This window comes from Homo sapiens, chromosome 1 (assembly GCF_000001405.40).
Source record: "Homo sapiens chromosome 1, GRCh38.p14 Primary Assembly".
Lineage (NCBI taxonomy): Eukaryota > Metazoa > Chordata > Mammalia > Primates > Hominidae > Homo > Homo sapiens.
In genome coordinates this window covers 77,554,448-77,575,304 of record NC_000001.11, presented here as the reverse complement: position 1 = coordinate 77,575,304, position 20,857 = coordinate 77,554,448, and the positions used below count along the sequence as shown (strand labels likewise).

The 20,857-nt window shown below is 38.7% G+C and overlaps 2 protein-coding genes across 27 annotated transcripts in view; one reads left to right on the top strand and one right to left on the bottom strand.

Annotated features, from left to right (window-relative positions):
- The window catches only part of ZZZ3 (zinc finger ZZ-type containing 3), a 120,983-nt gene extending 108,094 nt beyond the window's left edge, over positions 1–12,889 (top strand). For all 21 annotated transcript variants that reach the window (NR_164775.1, NR_164777.1, NR_164776.1 and 18 more), the window contains 3 exons: positions 6,839–6,973; positions 9,124–9,224; positions 9,521–12,889. Coding sequence is in view for 18 of the 21 variants with exons in the window: in NM_001376151.1 (NP_001363080.1) it covers positions 6,839–6,973; positions 9,124–9,224; positions 9,521–9,665 (381 nt within the window). In the remaining 3 variants the exon portion in view is untranslated. The remainder of the gene's footprint in view (positions 1–6,838; positions 6,974–9,123; positions 9,225–9,520) is intronic.
- Positions 12,890–15,338: 2,449 nt separating this feature from the next.
- Positions 15,339–20,857, bottom strand: part of AK5 (adenylate kinase 5) — a 277,948-nt gene continuing 272,429 nt past the window's right edge. For all 6 annotated transcript variants that reach the window (NM_174858.3, XM_005270739.6, NM_012093.4 and 3 more), the window contains one exon: positions 15,339–16,703. In NM_174858.3, coding sequence (NP_777283.1) covers positions 16,635–16,703 — 69 coding nt within the window. In that variant the 3' untranslated portion in view covers positions 15,339–16,634. The remainder of the gene's footprint in view (positions 16,704–20,857) is intronic.

Sequence of the window (20,857 nt, the reverse complement as noted above, 5' to 3'; positions counted from 1 at the left end):
CTGGACTATTCTAAAAGTAATCCCCCTGCCCCCTAGTCAACTATTTGGTTACTCTGAGGTACATATAGAAAAGGTGGGATAATTGCTCAATTCTCCCTTTTTTTTCTTTTTCTTTCTTTTTTAGGCAGAGTCTCGCTCTGTCGCCCAGGCAGGAGTGCAGTGGTGCAATCTCGGCTCACTGCAGCCTCTGCCTCCCAGGTTCAAGTGATTCTCCTGCCTCAGGCACCTGAGTAGCTGAGACTACAGGCATGTGCCACCATGCCCGGCTAGTTTTTGTATTTTCAGTAGAGGCGGGGGTTCACTATGTTGGCCAGGATATTCTCGATGTCCTGACCTCGTGATCTGCCTGCCTCGGCCTCCCAAAGTGCTGAGATTATAGGCGTGAGCCACCATGCCTGGCCTGTTTTCTGGTTTTTAAAATAATGAGTTCATTTTCTCATATCCTTCAAAGATGACCAATGAGGTTTAAAAATTTTTTGTATTCTTATGAACTATTGGCCCTAAATGTATTTAATGTATTTCAATTCATTGATGTTACTGCCTTTGTTAGTGTTCAAAGTGGCCCATCTTTGGTTTGTTGTAGCCTATTTAAGTTGGCTTATAAGTTCTTTTGATAAGACTCTAATAGTGTTTAATAGCTTAATACCCATTTTTAACAAGGAAAATCCAGGCTCATCTTGTATATTTCCTGCCTCAGACCCAGAGTCAGTCCTTCTTTTTACTGGGAAATGGTATTTAGAGACTATATCCTGACTGTAGGAATGTTACTTGCTGCTGGGTTCATCATTGTTTGTAGGCCTGTTAATGGACAGAGCTGGGAAATATGATACATTTTTATTTTATTTAAGGATGAAAGACATCATTAAGTTCATATTTTAATTGCAAATTCAACTTAAGAACTCTAGGACTTTTATCTACCCTAATCGATCTTAAATATGTATCTCCTTTCTGCGGGTTAAAAATCATAGTTCTCAATGACATCAATGTAATACTTACTTCCTTTGTCTCACACTGCCCAGAACAATCTCAGAATATATTAATAACCAACACTACTATTAATATGGTTCCTGAAAACAGTTTGTTTTTCAGTTCTTTATTTTGCCATATATATAGATATATCTATATAAATCTATATATATCTATATATAAATCTATATATATCTATATGTAAATCTATCTATATATATATCTATATCTATAGATATATATATATCCCACTACAGAAGTAAAGTCAAATTGGTTTTTAAATTATCTTGGAATAAATAATCCCTCTCACTGTTGCCATGGTTGGATATTAATTTAGGTTAATTCACTTTATTTTACTTTACATATATAGGGATTTCTTTTTGTTGCTGTTAATATTTTTTATTATTTACTATTCCTGAAATTATTTTCTCAATACTTAACCTGATTCTGATTCCTTGCTTAAAAGGACATAAAGATCACCCTATATCTTCCTTAATACTCTGATTATATAGAATTGGAAAAGGATATTTTAATGAAAAGTTATCAAATAAAAGTAAGCTCCTTTGTTCTATAGCTAGATTAATCGAATACTGATTGTATACTTTGGCATCAAACTACCTTAATAACTGTATTCATAAAAATTTTAAAATTTCCTTTTAAACTTGTCTTTTGAAAAATGACTACTATCATTGCTGTGTTTTAAACAGCATTTGTGTATAATTTCATACTTTGTGATTATTAGAATTGTACATCTGAGAAATATTTATTTAAACTTACTATTTATCAGGCTTTGCTAGGGATTAGATACGTAGTTATGAACAAAATATGTCTGATCTTTGTGCTCATAAATTTTCGTCTATGGGAGGAGATAAATGTGTAATCACATCAGTAAATCACACATTTAAAAAAGTACTTCAGACCGGGCACTGTGGCTCACGCCTGTAATCCCAGCACTTTGGGAGGCTGAGGTGGGCAGATCACCTGAGGTCAGGAGTTCAAGACCAGCCTGGCCAACATGGTAAAACCTCATCTCTACTTAAAAAAAAAAAAAATTAGCTGGGCATGGTGGTGCATGCCTGTAATCTCAGCTACTCAGGAGGCTGAGGCAGGATAATTGCCTGAACCCGGGAGGCAGAGGTTGCCAGGAGCTGGGATTGCACCACTGCACTCCAGCCTGGGCAACAAGGGCAAAAACTCCAGCTCCAAAAAAATAAATTAAAAAATGCTTCAAAGGAAAAAGAGATGCTAACATAATTATTTAAGAGGTACTTAATTTAGATTGAGAGTTTCAGTGGAAGACCTGAGAGGGTGACAGTGAAGATGGTACTTGAAGTATGGATAAAAATTGGCCAGATGAAGAGTGGTGGTGGAGTACTTAAAAAAAGTACAATTTGGCTAGGTGTGGTGGCTCACAGCTGTAATCCTAGTACTGTTGGAAGCTGAGGCAGGAGGATCGCTTGAGCCTGGGAGTTCAAGACCAGCCTGGGCAACATAGTGAGACCCCATCTCTACAAAAAAGAAAAAAGAAAAAATTATCAGCCTGGCATGGTGGTGCATTCCTGAAGTCCCATCTACTCAAGAGGCTGAGATGGGAGGATCACTTGAGCCTGGGAAATTGGGCCTGCAGTGAACCTGGATGACGCCACTGCATTCCAGCCTGGGCGACAGAGGGAGACTCTGTCTTAAAAAAACAAACAAAAAGGCCGGGCGCAGTGTCTCACACCTGTAATCCCAGCATTTTGGGAGGCCGAGGCAGATGAATCATGAGGTCAGGTGTTGGAGACCAGCCTGGCCAATATGGTGAAACCCCGTCTCTACTAAAAATACAAAAATTAGCCAGGTATGGTGGTGCATGCTTGTAGTCCCAGCTACTCGGGAGGCTGAGGCAGGAGGATCACTTGAACCTAGGAGGCAGAGGTTTGCAGTGAGCCGAGATCGTGCCACTGCACTCCAGCCTGGAAGACAGAGTGAGACTCCGTCTCAAAAAACAAAACAAAACAAAAAAACCCAAAACCCTCAGAAAAACCCACAAAAAACAAAACCCAAAGGTACAGTTTGACAAATTGGCAAAATATAATAGAGTGGATTAGATTTGATGTAATTTTTGTTGTTGTTGAGTTTATTTATTTAAAAATGAGTGCCAGTTCAAATTATTCTGATCACTTTAAAATAGCTACTCAAGATGTATATTTATGAAGCATCTGGTGGAAAAGTTTATAGATTTTAGTTTCTCTTTTCAAAAAGCAATAGATAGAACACTTACTTACATGTTATTTACCCGTGGCTTCGAAATCTGTATACAGTTTTAGCTCCATTTGATATTAGTCCCCTTTAAGTAAGTTTAAAGTGATTATGATTAGGAAATCTATGAGGCTTTAAAAAATTTTTCTTTTAATTTTGGTGAAATACACATAACATGAAATTTACCATCCTCACCATTTTTATAGTATACAGTTCAGCAATGCTATGTACAGTCACATTATTGTGCAACCGGTTTCCAGAGCTCTCAGCTTACATGACTGAAACTCTGTATGTATTAAACATCTCCCCAGCACCCCTTTTTCTAGCCTCTGGCAGTCATTATTCTGCTTTCCATATCTATAAATTTGACTACTCTACATACCTCAAATAAGTGGAAGCATACAGTATTTGTCCTTTTGTGACTGGCTCGTTTCACCCAGCGTATGGTCTTCAAGGTTCATCCATTTTGTAGCATGTATCACAATTTCTTTCCTTTTTAAGGCTGCATTATATTCCCAATATTGTATGCCACATTTTGTTTATCCATTCATTTGTTGATGGATACTTGGGTTGCTTCCACCTTTTGGCTATTGTGAATAATGCTACTGTGAACATAGGTATACAAATATCCTGCTTTCAGTTCTTTTGGGAAGTAGAATTGCTAGATTGTATGGTAATTTTATGCTAAATTTTTTGAGGAACCACCATACTGTTTTCCATAGGAGCTGTACCATTTACATTCTCACCAACAGTGCATAAGGATTCCAATTTATTTACATCCTTACCAACACTGGTTATTTATTTATTTATTTTTTCAGTAGTAGCCACCTACTGGGTGTGAGGTGATTTAACTTTTCTTAATCTTAGCCTTGCTGATCACATTTAATAATATCCTTAGCATTTAAATGCAAATCTAAAAATTTAAAAGTGTTTACACTCTTTGCATTTGCAAAATATCTGAATTAAGTAAATTTCATTAAGACGTGTCTTACTATATTATCTAATTATTCGGGTCACTTATTTATTAGTGTATAGCATTACTTAATGTTGTCTTTCTCAGTGGTGACATAGTATGGTAATAACAATCATCAAACATCTTTAGTTGACAAGAATTTGAAATGGATAGTGGGGCCAGGCGCAGTGGCTCATGCTGTAATCCCAGCAATAAGTGAGGCCTAGATGAGCAAATCACTGGAGCCCAGAAGTTCGAGACCAGCCTGAGCAACATGACGAAACCCCGTCTCTACAAAAAAAAAAAAAAAAAAAAAATTAGCCAGGCTTGGTGGTGTGCGCCTGTCATCTCAGCTACTGAGGAGGCTGAGGTGGGAGAATCACTTGAGCTTGGGAGGTCAAGTCTGCAGAGAGCCCCACCATTGCACTCCAGCCTGGGTGACAGAGTGAAACCCTCTCTCAAAAAAATAATAATAATAATAAAATAATAAAAATAAAAATAAAATAACAGGAAAAAGTGGGAGATAAGATAGATGAAGTGTGAAATTGTGAAGAATCTTTTATTCAGCCAAAGACTTTGGACTTGATGCTGTAGATAGTCAGGAAACCATTGGGAAATTTTAAGTAATGGTAAGGGGCAAAGGAGGGGGTGGATACTAGAGGACCGATTTGAAAGCGATTGTAGAAAGTATTAAGAAATGACAGGATTTGTTACATTCGATATAAGACAGAGTGAATAACTGAGGATAGGCCAGGTGTGGTATGCCTGTAATCCCAGCACTTTGGGAGGCTGAGGCAGGCAGATCACGAGGTCAGGAGATCGAGACCATCCCGGCTAACACGGTGAAACCCCGTCTGTACTAAAAATACAAAAAAATTAGCTGGGTGTGGTGACGGGCACCTGTAGTCCCAGCTACTTGGGAGGCTGGGGCAGGAGAATGGTGTGAACCCAGAAGGCAGAGTTTGCAGTGAGCCAAGATCGCGCCACTGCGCTCCAGCCTGGGTGACAGAGTGAAACTCTGTCTCAAAAAAAGAAAAAAAAGAAAAACTGAGGATAACACTTAGATTTCTGACTTGGGCTGCTTTGTGTAAGCTTTTGTTTACTTGATATAAAATAAACATAGCACTTAATACCTAATGTAGCAGGAGGAATGGGTGGGGTAGGGCTTGTCTGGTCCGGGATTGGGAATTTACAGAGCATGGATCAGAGAATTGGGGATGCTTTTAGGAAATAAGTGAGCACGGGATCAGTCATAAGGTAGCAAAGAAAAGAAATGGAACCTGGGTGGCAGAGCACAAATGAATTGGGAGAATAGGAAGCAGAATAGTGATTAGAAATTTCAATGAGGTTAAAAAAATAAGCTGATTATTTGGGGTGAGAATATGAGAGAAGTAGGAATAACAGTGGAGGTAGGAAATCTAAGCTTAATATTTGGGATGTAAAACACTTATAGTTGAAGGCAAGGTCCAAGGTATGGCTGTTGGAGTGGGAGACTCTGAGAAGGAATGAAGATGAAGATTATTTCAGTAGAATCAGTGTAAGATTAGAGGCCAGAAATAGCGAGTTGGGCATCTGTGATAATCTTGAAGTTGTCTAGGATGATGAACCACAGTGTTGTCAGCAATTTTAAATAGACAAATTTTGCATGTTAATACTTTGAGTAGAAAGCTACTTGTCAATTTGGGAGGTGGGGGATGGTCCCGAACATATGTATCTAAAAGTTCGGAATCATAAATAGACTTTATACCTTGAAGGCCAGTTTATTAAGGGATACTTCAACTTAATACATTTATTTTATTTTTTAATTTTGAGACGGAGTCTCACTCTGTCTCCCAGGCTGGAGTGCAGTGGCACAGTCTTGGCTCACTGCAACCTCCGCCTCCCAGGTGCAAGCAATTCTCCTGCCTCAGCTTCCCGAGTAGCTGGTATTACAGGTGCGTGCCACCATGCCCAACTAATTTTTGTATTTTTAGTAGAGACAGGCTTTTGCCATGTTGGCTAGGCTGGTCTTGAACTCCTGACCTAAAGTGATCCGTCCACCTCGGCCTCCCAAAGTGCTGGGATTACAGGTATAAGCCACTGCACCTAGCCTACTTAATACATTTATATAGTTTTTACTGTTTATGTCTCTTACAGTCCATTCTAAATAGTCGTCTTTGTAACTCAGTTCATCTTGTTGAGTAGGAGAGAAATGTTCTACTTTGATCATTGGGAGTACAGAGCAAAAAACAAGAGCAGAGGTTGGTTTGCTTGTTATTAAGAAAGTGTCATGTTTACAGGAGCAAATGTAAAAATCTGTTAGATTGGAGAAGAGGAACTTCCTTAAATGAGGGAGAAGTAGATTACAAGTCACTCAAGTAACCGTGAAAATATAAAGATGGGATTGGGTTTGCAATAGTGTGTGACAGAGGTGGTAATCATGGCCGTGCTTCCCTTTTACCTGCATTGAAGTAGTCTGCTACAATTCAGAATTACTGTTGTGTTAAAAAAAAAAAAAAAAAAAAGTCCAAAAGCATTAGTGGAAAATACTGCTAATAACAGCACTAATTTTCTATGAGTACTAAGAGATATTTTAAAAATGAAAAATATCAGTAGAAAAATATTCTGTATCAGTATTACTTACACTTAATTCATTTTAATTACCAAACCAACATTTTTTTTTTTTTTTTTTTTTGATAGGATGACGAAAGTATTCCTATCATGTATAGGAATTTACCTGAATATAAAGAACTATTACAGTTTAAAAAGTTAAAGAAGCAGAAACTTCAGCAAATGCAAGCTGAAAGTGGATTTGTGCAACATGTGGGCTTTAAGGTAAGTTCTATTTAATTTTAGGATTCATTTCATTTTATTTATTTATTTATTTAGAGACAGAGTCTCACTCTGTTGCCCAGGCTGGAGTGCAGTGGCGTGATCTCAGCTTACTGCAACCTCTGCCTCCCGGGTTCAAGCGATTCTCGTGTCTCAGCCACCCAAGTAGCTGGGATTACAGGTGTGTGCCACTATACCCAGCTAATTTTTGTATTTTTAATAGAGATGGGGGTTTCACCATGTTGGCCAGGCTGCAGTATTCATTTAATTTTAAAAGGGTGATAAGAGATACTTTAAAGTGGTTTCTGTAGTGTTAAACTCCAGAATTGCTAAGCATGTAGGAAAAAGTTATCTTTTATCCCATTCATTTATGCAAAGCAGTGGTGCCATCGTTCCTGATGTGAAGAGTTTATTATTTAGTAGAGTGAAGACAGACATACAGGTAGCTATCAATTGAGGTAAAATGTGAGGGGCTTTTGTTTAGCCGTTTCTCTTTTTGTTGCTGTTGTTCATGGGTCAGAAATGGGTTTTTTTCCCTTTCTGATTGAGAGGCTAATAGAAATGCATATACTCATTCTGCAGAATTTTGTAATACACATTATGTTCCAGTCACTTTGCTAAGTGCTAGAGATTCAGCAGTAAACAAGACAGACTCAGTTCTTGCCCTTACTCTGTTTTCATTCTCATAAGGAATTTAGAGAAGTTAAACAAAATAGTTGAGCGTGGCTAGAGTACATACTAGAGAGTAGTTAGAGGCTGCTTGCACCGCCTTATAAATTTTGCCAAGGAGCTCACACTATCCTGAGAGGTTGGTGGGGGGAACCATTGAATGATTTTAAGCAGAAAGTAACATGACATTTACGTTTTGGAAAGAATCATTCTAGTTACTTAAACTATTGGGGGTGATGATCTTTAGGAAAGCAGTGGGTTTGGAACTGACCAGCTTTTCCCCTCATCATTTTGGCCATAGTATGGAAACTTAATTAGAGGAAGGCAAGACTAGAGTCAAGGAAACTGGTTAGAGATTCTTTTGATAATTTAGACAAAAGAGGAGGGTGTCCTGAACTTGACTGGTGGCCATGGAAATAAAGATTGGCAAGTTTGAGAAGCCTTTAGGCATTAGAATTGACTTGGTTGGACTGGAGGAAGTAATAATGAGACCATAAACTTGGTGGTGTTGGTGGGTGCACATGAAAGTACTGATGTGTGCTGTGACTGGTAAACCAAATTAAAAACAAAGTTATACCTTTGATCCTCTAGAGTAGCCAGTAACCATACTATATTAAATGATTTTCCCTCTTGATCTTTCAGTGACCCTGTTTCTCCAATAGAGATTTTCCTAACTGGCAGCTCTGGCCTTTCAGAAAAACTTGCTTCACTTCTCCTAATTTTGCTGCAAAACCCAGCCATGGCTTGTTTGCCATTCTGTCAGCCACTATAGTTGACCAGATGATCAAAGAAACTAGAAATGATAGATCCTTTGATTTCCAAAAGTGCACAGAACACACTGAGGACTGTCACAATGCCACCACGCTGAGAAAGAGCTAGATCTGCCTTTTTGACATGATGGGCATTGGTTATTAGGAGTCTTTAGGCTTTGGGAGAGCGATTCAATAAGAGATAAAAGTTTAGACAGAATTTCATTGTTGCCTGGGTTTATGTTAGCCAAGAGAACCTGCTAAAACAATTCTGTATCAATTACCAACAGTGAAGCACTACAGGAGGCAGCTGTGGCATTGCTTCCTTAACCAGTATTTGGATAGTTTTAACTATGGTATTAACTCTCTGTTTCTCAACCATAGTCATCATACAGTGGTCTGAGGTACCTTTCAAGTAGATGATTACAAATAACAAAACACCCAAGTTGGAGATGATTTACTTTTAAAAATTTTTAAATAAATTTAAGCTGATTGAAGATTATCCCTTCCAATGTTCCTCTCACTCACCCATATCTTGATATTGAGTGGATGGAATTTTACCTAGTTTGCTAGAAATTGTCTCTAACACATAACCATTTGTGTGTTATATTACTGTCCTGTGCATGGAGAGAGAAGAGAAGATGTCTGTGTGCACATCATGTGTTTCCTTGTGGAAAATAAAAAAGATCGTGGAACAGTATAACTTAATACATTTTCTCTCTGAATCTGTTATAGTGTGATAACTGTGGCATAGAACCCATCCAGGGTGTTCGGTGGCATTGCCAGGATTGTCCTCCAGAAATGTCTTTGGATTTCTGTGATTCTTGTTCAGACTGGTAAGTGTTTTCTTCATTGTCAGTCTTCAACTTAGACAAGAAAAGAGCTTCTCAGCCATTAGTGAATTTGATTTCCAAACATAGAAAATATTAATACCCACACTTAGTGAATTAAATTTTGTTGTTCTAGGCAATTAATTTTTTTCTGTAATCATACCACATGTCAAGTAACTTTCCGTTGGAGATTTTGATAGATTAATGGATTTAAACAGGGAGAGCTGTGAGGAAGCTTTGTAATACACAGACTAAAATGCATCCACTACCATGTAATGATGTGTGTCTTTTTTTCTTTACAGTCTACATGAAACAGATATTCACAAGGAAGATCACCAATTAGAACCTATTTATAGGTCAGAGACATTCTTAGACAGAGACTACTGTGTGTCTCAGGGCACCAGTTACAATTACCTTGACCCAAACTACTTTCCAGCAAACAGATGACATGGAAGAGAACATCATTTACTAGTCCTCTTCAACACATAGCAATGGTATCATTGTTAATTATGTGCACAGTTTGGAAAGATTCTCTGCTTTCCCAGAAATGACACTCACAGCATGAGAGCTTCCTGAGTGTTCTCGTCAAGTACAGCTCTGCACCGTTGTGGCTCTAGATCACTGTTCAGCAGCTGAACATTCCTGGTGAGCAAAGGTTTCCCTGGTGAATTTTTCACCACTGCGTTTTAGGTGGTGATCTTAAATGGGTGAGATGGAACGAGAGCACACATTAAAGAGAGAGTAAATTCCAAAGGTTTCAAAGAACTTGGTCATAAATATGATAATGAGAAGACAAAGTATTTATATTAAAACAGTTTAGTAGCCTTCAGTTTTGTGAAAATAGTTTTCAGCACAGAAACTGACTTCTTTAGACAAAGTTTTAACCAATGATGGTGTTTGCTTCTAGGATATACACTTTAAAAGAACTCACTGTCCCAGTGGTGGTCATTGATGGCCTTTAGTAAATTGGAGCTGCTTAATCATATTGATATCTAATTTCTTTTAACCACAATGAATTGTCCTTAATTACCAACAGTGAAGCACTACAGGAGGCAACTGTGGCATTGCTTCCTTAACCAGCTCATGGTGTGTGAATGTTATAAAATTGTCACTCAGATATATTTTTTAAATGTAATGTTATATAAGATGATCATGTGATGTGTACAAACTATGGTGAAAAGTGCCAGTGGTAGTAACTGTGTAAAGTTTCTAATTCACAACATTAATTCCTTTAAAATACACAGCCTTCTGCCTCTGTATTTGGAGTTGTCAGTACAACTCATCAAAGAAAACTGCCTAATATAAAAATCATATATATGGTAATAATTTCCCTCTTTTGTAGTCTGCACAAGATCCATAAAAGATTGTATTTTTATTACTATTTAAACAAGTGATTAAATTTAGTCTGCACAGTGAGCAAGGGTTCACATGCATTCTTTTATACTGCTGGATTTTGTTGTGCATCATTTAAAACATTTTGTATGTTTCTTCTTATCTGTGTATACAGTATGTTCTTGAATGATGTTCATTTGTCAGGAGAACTGTGAGAAATAAACTATGTGGATACTGTCTGTTTATATTATAGAATGCTTGTTGTGACTTCCTTTTGGTTAGATTTTGGATTTTTTTTTTTACCAGTGTTAAAACCAGAAATTGGTATTTTTTAAAATGGTTTGCTTCACATATTTAAGAGTTTTCTTTCTGTCATTTATGAAGAATAAGGAATGTATTATGGAAAAGAGGGTGATCTTAAGCAACCCTGTAAAAAATGGTAAAGATTTTTACTCAGTGTGTGCTGAAACACTAAATTAAACTAGCTTACAAAAAGGAAACACGGACCATGGTTAAAGAAAAAGGCAATTATTAATGCTCAGGTGTGAAAACTAAAGTTGAAAATTTTTTTTCTAGTTGTGTCTCATGAAGATAAGCCCCCATGTATTTAAACAGATGGCTTTTGAAAAATCACCTTGTTTCCTGGAAATTACTATTAACTATAGGAAAAGATAGTATAAATATTCTAAGATTGATTGTTATATTTGACCCAATTTTTAGAATCACCTGTTTTTTCCTATTTTAAATCAAGGGAACATTATTTACTAGTTCTCTTCAGTACATAGCAGGGTACTAAAATCATACCCTGAATTTTTTTTAATTGAGAAAAGTAATAGAATTTTAAATATAGAAATATGAGAATTTTAAAGTAATATATTGATTAAAGATCACTGATGATATAGATATAATATATCATAACAGAAGGAAAGTAAATGGACTTGAGCTTAACTTCTCACCCTGGAATTATTAGTGGGTGAAGAGGGGAATCATTAGCATTCTGGGCGTTTTTATATTAAATGTTTTGTGAATATGCCAGAAGATCTGCCTTCAACTTGTAATTAGGCAAGATAGTAATGCTTGATGGTAACTTCTATGTTTGTGTAGAAATAATACCAGTTAGTTTTGGAAAGCCATTCAGATCCATTCAAAAATTCCATAAAGTATGATGTATGCTTTGGAAGAGGGATATGAGTGATACAATTGTTATATAAATGGAATAGACAAACCATTTGAATGCATTTTTCTAGGGCAAACATTTTTTGAGATTTTTGAGTTAAGAAGATTTTTCGGCTTGAGCAGAAGATGTGTTTGTTTTGCATTTTTCAGCTCCAAGGAAACAGCCCCCATGGCTTTAAAAGGCCCTGAAGTTCAGATAGTAGTAGGTAGTGTTTTGTTATTGTTTTAATTTGAGAGTTGCAGGAATAATGGGCAGAGCTGTCATTTGCCGGTAGGCTACCATCTGCCTACATAGAATTATTGGACTGTAAGCTAAAACAGACTGTAAAAGACCTACTTGCTAAAGCATTGCTTATTCAGTGGTATTCAGTAGATAAGATCTATTTCCTGATATATTGTGCTCAAGTTATTTGCACATCTTAAGAAACTTTTAATATCTAAAACCATTGTTGTAAGATTTAGGTAGAGGAGGTTTCCTTTTGTGTGATGCATAATAATAGAAAACACTGATACAGTGTTTACTATGTGCCAAGCAAGCATATGATAACTAATTCTTAACAACTCTATGAGGCAGGGTCATTTATTATCCTGTTGTCATATGAGGAAATCTCGCCAGAGAGAAGTTAATTAACCTGCCCAAGGTCGTATAGTTAGTAAAGTGGTCATGCTTGGATTTTAACCTAGGCAGATTACTTCAGAGTCAGCGTCTGCCTTACTATCCTGTTTCCTGAGCAGGAATTTCCCCTTGTGTCAGGCAACACTAGGTGTTAGGAGTGGAGGTGTGCAGATGTTGCCTTACATTCTGTTTTCCTGATGTGGTGTGCTTCCTAAGAGTACAAACCTGAGCATATGTCCAGGCTTGCAAAGTCTCAGGCAAAGCTGGGACTAAGGCTTGTGTTTCCTGCCTTGGGTAGGATTTTCTTCTATGCATGTTGGGTGCTTCTCACTTAACCTAATAGTATGCCTTGTCTGTTTTCCCCCCTTCCCCTTTTTGTTTAAATTGATTCACAGAACACAAAAATTTACTAGGTATGAACATTTGAAAAAATGGAATAGAGAAAATGGTACATCACATGTAATAAAGATAAATATTGTTTTGTGAAATGTCTTTTTCAATCATAAATATGTGTTGTGTGCTATATAAAACTATTTCTTATTGTGGATATTGAAGTTTGAAGCCTGTTGTTCATCTATAGATGCACTGGATGGGATTGGAAGTCTTCAGATTTCAGTAGGGTTTTCCACAAGCTTATGAAGACATTGTTCTGTTTAGGCTGTAAACTGTTTTTATTTCTTGATGAAAAATGTTCTTCTATTTATATGATCCCAGAAAAAAGATACAACTTTTTTTTTCTACAGTTAATGTAGCTAGTTAACTAGAGTTTTCAGAGTTATAATACATTTAGCTCCATGAGAACAGAGACGATCCATGTCTGTCTGTATCTCTAGGGCCTGGCATTTAATAGATTCTCAATAAATATGTGTTGGTTGTATGACCAACATTTTGGTGAGTTTACATTTTTTTCCTCCAGGAACTTGAGAGACACCACCTATGATTGAGTGTGTCTGTGAGATCCTTAGAGGCCTTGCATCAGAAGGTCATCTTGACAGTTCTGTGAGAGGACAGGGGAATTGGACTCTATCTTACCCAAAGGCTGTGATTCAACCCTGGGTGGCAGAGGTGGTTTTGGTTCTCTGTGGGACCCTAGATAGGCTGTGTATCTTGATTCTCTTCCATGTTTTTAAGAGTAGTGTAATGGGGCTGGGCATGGTGGCTCACGTCTGTAATCCCAACACTTTGGGAAGCCGAGGCAGGTAGATTGCTTGAGCCCAGGAGTTTGAGACCAGCCTGGGCAACATGGCAAAACCCTGTCTTTACTTAAAATACAAACAAATGGGCATGGTGGCACGTGGCTGTAGTCTCAGCTACTCGGGAGGCTGAGTTTGGGGGAATCACCTGAACTTGGGACGTTGAGGCTGCAGTAAGCCGAGATGGTGCCATGGCATAATAGCCTGGGGGAGAACGCTGTCTCAAAAAAAAAAAAAAAAAAAAGCAAGGTAATGGAAAGGACACTGGAGTGAAAATTCTGGGTCTTAGTCCCAGTTGTGGAAGTGAAGCACTCAGTAAGTGTTGACAAAGAACTACCTTTCATTGCACATTAGGAGCTAGTAAATGATTCGTGTGTCTTACTAACTTTTGTTTAATCCTCAGTTCCTCTATGAGGTTCATTACTATTATGTTCTCCATTGTATACATGAGAAAACTGGAGGTGCAGAGAGTATGTTAAATATGTTAGCTCTCAATAATAATTACTGTGTGTGGGACTGGAGATACCAAGCCGTGTCCTTATGGAGGTTATAATCTAATGCAGAAGACCAGCAATAAGTAAGTAAATAAAAACTATTACTTCAATTCAGGCAGGGATAAATGCTTTGAAGATAAGTAATGCTCAGAGAAAAATAATAATGGGAGAATGGGGAATAGTCTGCCATTTTAGATGGAATAAGCAAAGAAATCCTCTATTGGCCAGGGTAAATTCAAATAGAAACCAGAATAGAGCAAGGGAATTTGCTGCATGAATAATCTGTAGGAAGGGGCAGAAGGATAGCAGTAGCACACGGGCCCTGAGCCAGTAGACCGTGGCTTGTTCTGGCAACATTAAGATGGCCAGAGTAGCTTAAGCCAAATGAGCAAGAGGAGAGTAGTAGTTGATGGCGTCGAAGAGGGCACAAGCCAGCTCAGATGTGGCCTTGAAAACACATCATTGTAAAGGAGTTTAGATTGTGTTCTGATGTCTTCTACATACACACAGGTCTTTCGCTAGACAGAGACCTCTAAGGTCTTTTCCAGTATTAAAATCTTATGACTTTAAAGTAGTGATATCATTTCAAGCCATTCAAATCAGTAATGTGTTCTAGAGAAGAGTTGATTTGCACTTCTAGATACTCTTCAGGGGCAAAGCCATTTACCCTTGCTAAATTTTTCAAGGTGGCTGTCAGCTACAGCCGTAGAAGCCTGTAAAAGATGGCTGGACCTTTCTGCCCCTCTGCTGTCTCATTTTCCTTACCTGTGCAGTCAGAGCTGTGCTGGGCATGGACTGTGTCTGCCAGTATATGGTATGTGTTTCAAGAATGTCAATCCCTACAAAGAGTCATTTTATGTTTTCTGGCACAACTGATGATTTTCATCCTGTAACCTTTTTTTTTTCCAGTTTGCTCAGGTACTTATTATGCTCCCCGATAGAGAGTGTGACAACTTGGGGTAGTATTAAAGTATTTGACAACTGTTGGGAGTTATGGGAACATGCCCCTTTTTGTTAATAGAGGCGTAACTGTAACCAAAGAAATTTAATTTCTTCTTTAGCAAACACTAACATTTCTGTTTCAGAATGAGTGCTAGAGAAAGAGGAAATATGACAGTTACCATGTATCATGAATACATTGAGTTCTCTCTGTAATAACTCAAAACTGATCTATAGCTAAAATTAAAACCATATAAGCGTATCGTAAATCATCTTGACTATTTCTGTGTTCGCTTCTAATTCTGTTTGGAATAAGGCTTCAAATGCTTTCCAGAATGATGTGAGTTACAAATAAATAGAAAAAGAGTTATCCTGTCTTCCATTTATTTTATTTGTACATATCCATTTCAAGAAAAAAAAATGACTTAAAAAATACAATTCTATCCCAGAAATGGATCCTTATCTGCACAGCCATTGAAGAAAAAAAAAAAAATTCATGCAAACTGAAACTATGCTTTTTTGTAGTGACTGAGTGGAAGATGCAGTTATTCCAGTAGAATATATAAGCAGCTCTGATTTTACAACTGATTGATAGCACAAAAGAGAACCCAAACTTCACTGGTTTAATGCAAGGAAACACAGTTTTGCATATGGGTATGACAAGGTTTGCAAACTCCTGGAAAGGGCCCATATGAAACAAACACATTGAACACACCACTTACTGACATGCCCCTCCCACCCACATCAGGTTTGTTAGGGTATTTTTTTACTTGCTTGGCAACAAATAAATACATGGGTGACCATTTAAAATCAAAATTATAATTTGATATGTGCCCAATGAATGAAATAGCAAATATCTCATGCTTTTAAGTTACTTTTGGTCATTTATATTAATTTATAATTGCTGAAATGCATCACCATGTAGAGAAGAGACTAGGTTACACAATTTATCAGATTTGTTCTCTTAGCCATGACGACAGTATTCCAAGTTTCTAAAAAATAATAATAATAGAGAAGGTTACTGATGACTAACCTGGGTTTTACCATCATCTTGGGAAAGCTATACATCTTCATATTTTAAAATTTCTGTCAAATTTTACTTGCTTGATGCCTCTATATCATGTACAAGGCATTGTGTAATCAACCCACCTTATGGCTCTGAGCCACCAGTGGATGAGAGTTGACAAAACAGCCAGACACCAAAGGAAGATGCCCAGGGCTGTCCCCTATGCCAGGGGCCTCCATTGGGGAACAGTATGTAAGAGGAAGGTGTGACTGGGGGTTAGGGATGCTTAATGAGAGGAGAACCAGATGATCAGGGTCTAGCAAGGCCTGTGATCACAACGGACACAGACTGGCACCGCACCACTGTTCATGTACTGACTAGCTCTGAGTGTGGCCTGCATGATACAAAGTGTGTGTGCCGTGAGTGCAGACAGTTGTCTGAAGTGTGGAGAATAGGTTGATATAGTCCCAAATACACCATGCATGATTTCCAGACACCTCTCACACAGGTCTAGCTGGGAAGCAAACAGTGCTGTCAGGATTTAGGAGGTGGTGGTTGGTGGGGGCGGTGACACAAAAGGTTTAACTTGAAACATTGTGTTAAGGAATGAACTTTTTAATGTTTTTCTGTTTCCATTCTAACAAACATGCATTTTTGCCTTCAGAAAATAGAGTCAATAGCTGTGCAGAGTTGAAGAAAAACGTCCTCTGGTGTTCCCTCTGCATTTATCTATATTTAAAAGGAAAAAAAGAGAGTTAGTCTGAAATATCTGTAAATCATGTTTAATAATGAAAGAACACTATCACTTGCTCATAATTTGCTCTGCAAAATTTTAAAACACAAGACCCCCCCCAAAACACAGAGAAAAAAGTGAAGAGTAGTTTTAAAACTAGGTGTCTCAATTAAAAAAACAATGAAGTACCACTACACATCTATTAGAATAGCCAAAATCCAAAGCACTGACACCGCCAAATGCTGGTGAGGACATGGAGCAATAGGAACTCTCACTCATTGCTTGTGGGAACACAAAATGGTACACCCACTTCAGAAGACACTGCAGTTTCTTAAACTGAACATACTCTTACCATACTTTTTAGCAATTGCACTTCTTGGTGTTTACCCAAATGAGCTGAAACCTGAACATCTACCCAAAAACCTGCATATGGATGTTGACAGCAACTTCATGCATAATTGACAAAACTTGGAAGCACCCAGGATGATCTTCAGTATTTTAATGGATGGATAAACTGATATATCCAGATGGACAGGGGAATATTATTCAGCACTAAACTTAAATATATATTACTCAGTGATACAAGCTCCTCTGAAGAGGGTACATATTGTATGGTTCCAATTATATGACATTCTGGAAAAGTCAAAACTGGAGGCAGGTTTAAAAAGATCAATGATCGATGAACAGAGGGCGGTGGGGGGTGGGATGAGTAGGTAGAGCACAGGATTTTTAGAGCAGTGTAACTAGTATATGGGAACTCTATGCCCAATTCTGCAGTGAAGCTAAGACTTCTCTAAAAAGGAAAGTCTATTTAAAACAATAAGTGCCTATTTAGGTAAAACATTGCTAGGGGTCATGGAAAGACTTCGGAGTTACTTAAAATGAGACTTCTGAGTGTTCTGCAGCATTTGGGAATAGGGGAGAGATTGAGGGATGAGGGAGAGAGATGTGGAGAAGAAAGCAAAAGACTAGGACCGCAGTGTGTAGGTGTGCTAAGGTAGAGTCCGCTTGGAGACTGTTGGCATGCTAGCCCAAGGAGGACATATGAAGGGAAGCTGATTTTCTGGGCACGAAAGTACTGCCCCTTCTCCTCTCCTAACGCACCCACCGCTGAGATTTGTTCCATTACACCTGTATCATCTACAGAAAGTAAAGGCCTGGCCAAGCACGGGAAGCACCTGGGAGGCCAGGGAAATGCTGGTGGTATGCATCAACTTCCATGAGTGTCACCCAGGTTACTTTGGTAAAGTTGGTTATGAGGCATTACCTCTTAAAGAGAAACCAGAGCTTCTGCCCAACTCTTGACCTTGACAAATGTGGACCTTGGTCAGTCAGGAGACATGAGTAATCACACGCTGACAAAAAAAAATAATAATAAATAAAACAGGCTGGAGCTGCTCCCATCATTGATGGAGTGCTATGGGCTACTGCAGAATTCTGAGGAAGGGAAACTCCCAAAGTAGCCTGCTGTCACGAAGGCCAAGTTCTTCGGCAGGAGAGCTGGGAGAAGATTAAGGGTGTATATGTGGGGGGAGGTAGGGAGGCTGTGTTCTGGTGGCTTCAAGCCACAAGGAGGGAGCTTAACTAAATGCTAACAAACGAAAAAAGGAAAAAAAAAAGGTAGAGGGTTGGTGATCTACATGAGTCATGTGGGGGGCGGGCGGTGGTAAGCTTGCTAAAACACAGCTTTCCAGGCCATAACTGCAGAGGGTCTTGGTTGGTGGGTTTGGGCTGGGTCTTTAATCTGTATATTTAACAAATTCTCCACATGATTTTGTTGTGGGCCATCTTGGAGCACACTTTGAGAAACACAAAGTTTTCAAACACACATTTACAAGCACACTTTGAGACTCTTGTCTACCTATTTAAATCTTCTTTGTGCAAACTAGTTTGAATTTTTCTTCCCCTAGGGCTTTCACTGCTTCCAGAGGTAGAGTGAATTCTCAACAATATCAACAAAAAGAATGCTGCATGTTCAGATAGTGGAGAAAATGGATACAACAATATTAACGGAAGCACTGTTTGTCGTTCCCCAACTGGAAAAATCCTGTATGTCCATTAGCAATAGATGGATAAATTGTGACATAGTCATATAATGGAATACTATAGTAATTAAAAGAAAAAGAACCACAGCTATCTTCAACAACATGGATTAATTTCACAAACTTGAGAGACACAAGCCAGTCTCAAGAATATGAATACAGTATGGTTCAGTTTATATAAGGTTCAAAAACAAAGCTATATTGGTTAGGGATCCATACATAGGCAATAAAGTCATAAAGAGAAGCAAGGAAATGATTATCACGAAATCCAGGACATGAGTTACTTCTTGGGGAGAGGAAGGAAGCTGTGACAGGGGAGACATATGGGGAGGGTGGAGCTTCTGCAACTCTCTTCTATTTCTTTTCCTGCATGGTGGTTACATGAGTGTTCATTTTATTCCTCAAACTCTACATACTACTTTTATGCATTCCTGTATGTATGATATAGCCCACAATAAGGAAAAAATAAGTTTTTTTAAAGTTCTTTTTCCCCTCTCATAAATATACTTCATCCTTACAGGAGACTCAAAGATAGCAATCTGCAATTTGTCTGTCCAGCTACAGGTTCTACATCTGGATGGTAGGGGCTTTGCCTTTGCCATGTTCATGGCCCCCACAGCACCTTGCTTATTGCTTTACTTCTTTCTTCTTTTCCTTTCAACCAACAAGCATTTCCTGGTTATCATCAATGTTTTGCAGTTAACCAAGTTGAACGAGAAACAATGGTCCTGTTTTCCAAGAGCTCACGCTCAGTGGTAGAGATGAACATTCAACAGGAATTTACACTGTTAGGAGATAAGCACAGGAGCTATAAGGGCACCTTCCATAATGTGGGGAGGGCAGAGAAGCTTTCTGAGGAAAGTAATAATTGTCATCATTTAAAATGATAAATATTACTAGTAATGGCACAGGAATGCTTTTTAAATAACCAAAGTAATCCTATCAATGATCTTAGAAGTATTGTTATCCCAGTTTTACAGATGATGAAACAGGGGCTCTGAAAGATGAATTAAATTTTTTCAAGATAATGTGGTTAAGTAAGTGGAGAGAACTGGTTCACACCCAGGCCTTTGATTCTGAAGTCTTTGCACGTGTTGACTACATTACACTATGCTGACCAGTTCAAAATGGTGGATGGCCAGATATGAGGGGGAGTAGCAAGGAGTGAAGCTGGAATTGTAGGGACAGGCTAGGCTATGAAGAGGCTTATGTACCCTATTGCATGACGATAATGAGGAACCACGTAAGAATTGTTTTTTTGTTTGTTTTTTGTTTTTTAAAACAGGGTCTTGCTCTGTCACCCAGGCTGGAGTGCAGTGGCACGATCTCAGCTCACTGCAACCTCTGCCTCCCAAGTTCAGGCGATTCTCCTGCCTCAGCCTCCCGAGTAGCTGGGATTATAGGTGTGTGCCACCATGCCTGGCCATTTGTCTTTTTAGTAGAGATGGGGTTTCACCATGTTGGCCAGGCTGATCTTGAACTCCTGGCCTCAAGTAATCTGCCTACCTCAGCCTCCCAAAGTGCTGGGATTACAGGTGCCCAGCCCATGTAAGAGTTTTTAAGGAATGGGCTGACATCATAAAATATGGGTACACAGCAAATATTTGATAAATATTTGTTCCATCAAAAATAACCGCAGAGGCTGGGCATGGTGGCTCACGCCTGTAATCCCAGCACTTTGGGAGGCCAAGGCGGGTGGATCACGAGGTCAGGAGATAGAGACCATCCCGGCTAACATGGCGAAACCCCGTCTCTACTAAAAATACAAAAAAAAAAAAAAAAAATAGCCGGGCATGGTGGCGGGCGCCTGTAGTCCCAGCTACTCGGGAGGCTCAGGCAGGAGAATGGCGTGAACCCGGGAGGTGGAGCTGACAGTGAGCTGAGATCGCGCCACTGCACTCCAGCCTGGGCAACAGAGTGAGACTCCGTCTCAAACAAAAACAAAAACAAAAACAAAACCCAAATAAAACAAAAAAACTGCAGAAAGGTTGAAGTGCAAGGCAAAGAGCCCTGTATGAGGCGTGCCTGGGATTGCCCTCAGTGTGCTTCAGGACTTGACAGGCCATTCATCCTCTTGGGGCCTCAGTTTCCTCCTCTATCATATGAAG